This window comes from Homo sapiens, chromosome 3, assembly GCF_000001405.40.
Source record: "Homo sapiens chromosome 3, GRCh38.p14 Primary Assembly".
NCBI classification, from domain to species: Eukaryota; Metazoa; Chordata; class Mammalia; order Primates; family Hominidae; genus Homo; species Homo sapiens.
The window spans coordinates 66,527,825-66,534,988 of record NC_000003.12 but is presented as its reverse complement, the minus strand read 5'-3'; the positions used below and the strand labels follow the sequence as shown (position 1 = coordinate 66,534,988).

Sequence of the window (7,164 nt, the reverse complement as noted above, 5' to 3'; positions counted from 1 at the left end):
AACAAAAGATATGTAGGAAATCAGAGATATTTCTTGCTACTCAAAATGTGGTCTGAGGATCAGCAGCACCAACATCACTTGGAAGTTTGTTAGAAATGCAGAATTTCAGACTCCACCTTACTGAACTAGAACCTGCATTTTAACAAGATGCCCAGGTGATTTTTGTGTGCACATTCCAGCTGGCGAAACCCTAGAATCTCTCTAGTGTGGTAGGTGGAGAGGTTGTGAATGCTCTGGCCTACTGCTTTACCTCCTTAAACTACACCCACCATTCCCACAATTCGAGTACTAAACAACCCTCCCTTCATTCCCCTAACGTTCTTCAAGGAGCTCGTGCTTTGGCTTGTGGCTTCCTTTATGGGAGCAAAGGCAGCTAGGGAGAGTCCTGTCTTATCTGAGAGGCACTATTACGGTTCATCAGCATTTAATCAGGAGGCTCTGTCATGAGCGGGTTTGCTGTACTCTTTCAAGAAAAAGCAAACAATTAGCACAGAAAAGATATGGATAGATACATAGAAGGATTTGGTTTTCCCTTTCCCAGGAGCCAATTACAAGCTGACAAAACCAGCTATCAAAGCTTGCAGTTAATCTTTTAGAGTCAACATCTGCTGAAACTGCTTCAATGCAGTGTGGCCCTTCTGATGGGCATTTGTGGATTGGAGCTCTTCCCAAAGTCATAGGCTTTTCCTGAGAAAAAGTCATCTTTTCCAGTATGAATTACTAGAATGTATAAGACTTGGACCTTGCTTGACTGCTAACTCATCTGTCCCCAAATCTTTGAAAAGCAGTGCCTCCAAATGGAAAACACAAGTTCCCTCTCTCATTTTTTGATTTAGAAGCCCCAGGAAAAAGCGTGGGAAAAGTCACACCGGAAAATCACACATTTGAGATTCTGTTTGACTGAAATAGAAACTGAGATTTGCTAGGAACTTCTTGGATCAAAGAAGTGGTGGGGTAGGGTCGTGGTGGTGGGTTGGAGTTAAATGGCAACTTTCCCAAGCAACAACGGAAGGGTCTACGAGAAAGTGTTTCTTTTTCTTAACGCCCACCCCTCATAAACCAGCAAGGAAAACATAGCAAGGAGGCTGGTGGAGTGGCTCATGCTTGTAATCCCAGCCCTCTGGGCAGCTGAGGTGGGAGGATACCTTGAGCCCAGGAGTTCAAGACCAGCCTGGGCCAGGTGGTGAGACCTCATTTCTACAAAAATAAATTTTTTTCTTTCTTTCTTTTTTTTTTTTTTTTGAGAAGGAGTCTCGCTCTATCGCCCAAGCTGGAGTGCAGTGGTGACTACAGGTGCCCACAACCACACCCAAATAATTTTTTGTATTTTTAGTAGAGATGGGGTTTCACCGTGTTAGCCAGGATGGTCTCTATCTTCTGGCCTTGTGATCCGCCCGCCTCGGCCTCCCAAAGTGCTGGGATTACAGGTGTGAGCCACCGCACCCAGCCAAAAATAAAAATTTTAAAAAATCAGTCGGGGCCAGGCACAGTGGCTCACGCCTGTAATCTTAGCACTTTGGGAGGCTGAGGCTGGTGGATCACTTGAGGTCAGGAGTTCAAGACCAGCCCGGGCAATGTGGTGAAACCCCATCTCTACAAAACATACAAAAATTAGCCGGGTGTGGTGATGCATCCCTGTAGTCCCAGCTACTAGCGGGGCTGAGGTGCGAAGATCGCTTGAACCTGGGAGGTTGAGGCTGAAGTGAGCCCAGATTGCACCACTGCACTCCAGCCTTGGTGGCAAAGTGAGACCCTGTCTCAAAAAAAAAAAAAAAAAAAAAATTAGCCGGGCATGGTGGTGCGCACCTGCAGTCCCAGCTACTTGAGTACTGAGTTACTGAGTCCTGGAGTTCAAGGCTGCAGTGAGCTATGATCATACTACTGCACTGCAGCCTAGGTGATAGAGAAAGACCCTGTCTCTATAAAAACAAAAACAAAACCCTGAAAACACAGCAAGGAGAAGTATTATAACCATAGGCATTGCATGCAAAGGCTTTGGGGGACAAGATGACATCGAAGTTGAATTTTGCAGGGCAAATGAGTTAGAGGAGAGGAAAAGTGGTCAAGAGGACCATTTTTTCTTAAAATATAACTCACATACCATAAACATCACCCTTTTAAAGTGTACAGCTCAGTGTTTTTAGTATATTTACAAAATTGTGCAACCATCATCACTATCTCATTCCACAACCAGCATTCATCACCCCAAAAAGAATCCCATAGCATTAGGAGTCACTCCCCATTCTCTCCTCCTCCTAGCCCCTGGCAACTAATCTACTTTCTATAACAAGACAATTTTTAAAACAGAGAAAAAGCAAGCCTGCCAGGTGATGAGGTAAAAGTTCTTCACAATTAATAAGAGTAGCTCAAAGGTATTCTTTCCCCATTTTAAAATCCAGCTATGGTGAGGCCATCAGATCAGGAGACTGGCTGCCATTGAAAAGACAGTTTGTTATTCACAGTTCTCAAGAGGAGGGGCAGGGTATGTCATGCAGGGCCAGGTCGAGAAGCACCAGGGACAATCAGGAGGGAGAAGGAGGGAAGCAAATGCTTGGGCCAGAGCCTTTATTATGGTTTTTACAGGAAGAAATGGGCAAGGCAGGGTAGTCACATTTAGAACTGAATAGTTTGAATAATTTCAGTGAGCTCAAAACTATAGGGGGTGGTCTCTAATTGTCCTGTACCTGGCCCAGTGTGATTTAGGGCAGGAGGCTAGTGTCCCAAACTGCAGGAGCCTAATGAAAGAAGGTGGGTAGGAGGTATGGACACAGGATTGGTTGGTTTGCATATGAAAGGCATGCTCTAAAGCAGTTGTTTGCTATCTCTAGGAATTAGCTAATCTTGAGAGAAGCAGTCCCTTCCTGGAATAGAAAGGCCTCCAGATATCAAAGCGCCATAAAATGTGCAAAATAAAAAACATGATTAATACACACCAGACAACGTCATCAGCCGGGATATATATATCAGGAGATCAGACCAGTGTCTAATACAAAATGTTTTCATCTGTTTTTGCTTCTTCTTTCTAAACTTAAATACGTTGAGTTTCATTTTAAGCAATAAGATCCATGAAATCATGGGGCTGATATACTTAGTACATTTTCCTATTTTTTTGTTGAGACAGAGTCTCACCTTGGCCTCCCAAAGTGCTGGGATTACAGGCGTTGAGGCACCATGCCCAGCTACCTCGTATATTCTTTAAGTGCATGTTAAAGTAAGTACATAGCAAAATTACCTGAATAATGTCACACAGCACTCATGTTTTGCATGTCCCAGAATGAGATGCATTGATCTAATTCAACTTCTTCATTTTATGGAGGACAAATTTAAAGCCAGAAAGGGCAAGTGACTTGCTCAGGGTCACATAACTATTTCTGGTAAAAGACGAATTAGAATCCATTACCCTTGACTCCCCATTCCAATGCATATTCTCATCTGTGTAATTCAAATTTCACTGGTGTTAACAAAAAGCAAGGCAACCACTTTGAGTCACTCTTACCAGGGACCTGCTGTGCTATTCTAATAATTTCATGGTCCAGTCATCTGTTCAGAACTAACAGTGTCATTTGCACAAAAACAAAAGCACCTCTTCTGGTTTGTTTATCTGTGTTCCTCATTCTCTCCTGCAAGTCACTATGGAGTGGGAAGGAAGGTCTTCTAACTGGATTTCAGATTTCCAGTAACTGATGCATCCCTTGCTCTGAGAACTGGGCCAGGAGAACAGAAGTATAATCCTGGTCCCAACAAAAGTCTAGTTCAATTCATACATTAAAAAGATCAGCATCTAGGCCGGGCGCGGTGGCTCATGCCTGTAATCCCAGCACTTTGGGAGGCCAAGGCGGCTGGATCACTTCAGGCCAGGAGTTCGGGACCAGCCTGAACAACATGGGGAAACCCCGTCTCTACTAGGGAAACCCCGTCTCTACTAAAAATACTAAAAAAAAAGTAGCCGGGTGTGGTGGTGCCGCACTTGTAATCCCAGCTACCTGGGAGGCCAAGGCACAAGAATCGCTTGAACCCAGGAGGCGGAGGCTGCAGTGAGCCGAGATCGCACCACTGCACTCTAGACTGGGGAACAGAGCAAGACTGTCTCAAAAAAAAAAAAAAAAAAAAAAAGATTAGCATCTAAAGAAGGGAATGCCATGAAAGCCACACTATGGAAGATTTCAAAAAGTGCATAACAGCTTAGATAAAGGACTTGAAATTTTATGCATAAATGCCCATATATTTTACAAAGCAGGCAAGGAACTTCATTAATATAATGCATGACAAGAAAGCAGTCCAGCCCGCTCGGCAGGCTTTTCCTTGAGGTAACTGTGGTCTTAATAATGGTGAGAGCTGACACTGAGTCCTCACTTCCCACCAGGCATCTGTCTAAGCCCTCAGTACATGAAGAAGGCATTACGATTCTCTTCACTTTACAGAAAAGGCTACTGAGGTCAAGAGAGGTGAAGTAACTTGCCTAATGTCATACTCACAGTTAGTGATAGAACTGGGATTCATACACTGGGATGTCTGACCCCCAGGGCCCAGGTCTTAGCCACACCATGTAAAGGACTCCTTTCCCAACACCGTGTCATCCCTTTTTCAAGAAATTCATGTGCTTTGTGTCTGGGCACCTAACTCAAATTGAACTGCCTTGAAAATATTGAAATATTAAGATTTAGAACTATTCCTGGCACAGATGCTCAACATGAAACAGCTCCAGGGCCACTAAATAGACTGCAGCTCAGGCAGGCCTGCTGTCGATATTGATTGGTTTCCTTGCTACCCTGTTTTAGTTCTTTCTTATTCAATAGGAAGCTCATTAGGAATTACTAGAAGGCCCTTGGCCCTAGCTCCCTGCACAAATTCAGGATGAAGTTTTGTGTGTCATTTCCTAATGAAATAATTACAAGTCTAATACTATTGCTGTATTAAGGGTTTGCTCAGTTTGGTTAGGGGTGGAGACTCAGGGGGAGGAACTGATTTTTTTTTTTAAGGTTTTAGAAAATGTTTTTTCCCCCTTCACCTTCTTCCACACTTTCAGCTGCAAGTGGTTCCCCCTCAACTAATTTAGGCCACTCTTCAATTCCTAAAACTATTCCATTTCAGCGCTAGGAAGAGTATTACCAATGTCTAGCTCAGTGCTCACATCTACTGTTAGTATTGTGGTATTAATAGTAAAACTTCATTGCTTATGATATACAATGTTTTGTTGTTGTTGAGTTTTTTTGTTTGTTTTGTTTTCTGTTTTTGAGACAGGGTCTCACTCTGTCAGCAGGGTGGAGTGCAGTGGTACAATCATGGTTCACTGCTGCCTCAGTCTCCTGGGCTCAAGCCATCCTCCCATCTTAGCTTTCTAAGTAGCTGGGACCACAGGCGTGTGCCACCACACACTCGGCTAATTTTTTTTTTTTTTTTTTGGAGATGAGGTCTCCTTCTGTTACCCAGGCTGGTCTCAAACTCCTGAGCTCAAATGATCCTCCCACTTCAGCCTCTCAAAGTGCTAGGATAACAGGTGTGAGCTACCATGCCCAGCCGATGATAGATTTCTTGTTGTGCATTACATTAATGTAATTCTGTGCCACTTTTGTAAAATATTATGATATATATACATAAATATCCAAATTCTGCAACTAAGCTCAATAAATTAGAGTAAATATAAGGTTATCCCTGTCAAAACATCGCTTATCACTTATATTCTGACGTGATTTTTTTTTTTTTTTTTTTGAGACAGGGTCTCACTCTGTTGCCCAGGCTGGAGTGCAGTGGCACGTTCACAGCTCACTGCAACCTTGACCTCCTGGGCTCAAGTGATCCTCCCACCTCAGTCTTCCGAGTAGCTGGGGCTGTGGTGCATGCCACTGCAGCCAGCTCAAATGAGAATACTTTTTTCCTTTTTTTCTTTCTTTTTTTGAGACAGGGTCTTACTCTGTTGCTCAGGCTGGAGTGTAGTGGCACATTCATGGTTCACTGCATCCTTGACCTCCTGGGCTCAAGTGATCCTCCTACCTCAGCCTCCCGAGTAGCTGGGACTATAAGCACATGTCATCATGCCCGGCTATTTTGTTTGTTTGTTTTTGGTAGAGACAAGGTCTTCCCATGTTGCCCAAGCTGGCTCGGACTCCGGGGCTCAAGCGATCCACCCACCCAAGCTTCCCAAAGTGCTGAGACTACAGGTGTGAGCCACTGCACCCGGCCTGATTTTTTGATGGGGAGAGGAAATAATGTTATTTCTAGAGTGCTGGAAATTTCCCCAAACCTAGATTATGCCCGTCAGTGAGTGGAAGATGGGAACATTTTCTATCAAGCATGTCATGGTGAGAAAAAGTAAAGTTTGGAGCTGTTTTTGCTCAACCTCCTCATTGAACAGATGATGAAACTGAAGCTCAATGAGCTTAGGTAAGTTAATCAAGGTCACCTGGCTGCATCAAGAACACACAGGGACAAAAAGCCAATGTTCCTATGTAGCCTGAAAATAGAACCATAGCCCAAAAGGAGCTGCAGCTCAAGAGAGGCCGGTCAGCTCCTGGTTTCTAGTGCAGTGGTGTCCAATGAATGTCATTAGCTAATTGAGGTCTGTACTTGTTTCCTGTTGCTGTAACAAATTACCACGGATGTAGTGGCTAAACAACACATATTTATTATTCTACAGTTCTGGAGTTCAGATGTTGGACATGGGTCTCACTGGGCTACAATAAGGTATTGGTGGGGCTATATTCTTTCTGGAGGTTCTGGGAGAGGATCCTTTGCTCATTTGGGTTGTTAGCAAACTTCAGTTCTTCACAGTTGTAAAACTGAGGTCCTAGTTTTGTTTTAAATTTTTTTTTTTTCTGGCTGTAAACTGAGAGTCCTTGCCAGCTTCTAGGGATGGTTGCATTCCTTGGCTTTTAGCCCCATTTTCTATCTTCAAAGCTAGGAATGGCAGGTCAAGTCCTTGTCATTCTGCATCTCTCCCACTTTTCTTCCAGAGGCCTACCTTCCTCTGACCACAGCTTCCAAGGTTTCTCCCTTTTAAGGACACGTGATTAAATTTGGCCCCTCTGGGTAATTCAGGATAAACTTCTAATCTCAATAGCCTTAACCTTGATCACATCTGCAAAGTCCCTTTTGCCATTACATGCCCATGGGTTCCAGGGACTAGGACGTGGGCATCTCTGGGGGCCACTATTCTGCATATCAACC

General features: G+C 43.9%; 1 annotated feature.

Moving 5' to 3' along the window:
• Window positions 2,203-3,028: an enhancer, noted in NCBI's record as "OCT4-NANOG hESC enhancer chr3:66582385-66583210 (GRCh37/hg19 assembly coordinates)". NCBI's record gives its function as "activates a minimal SCP1, AML or CMV promoter by ChIP-STARR-seq in naive and primed H9 embryonic stem cells {active_cell/tissue: H9 hESC(naive and primed)}" and the evidence as "EXISTENCE:reporter gene assay evidence [ECO:0000049][PMID:30033119]".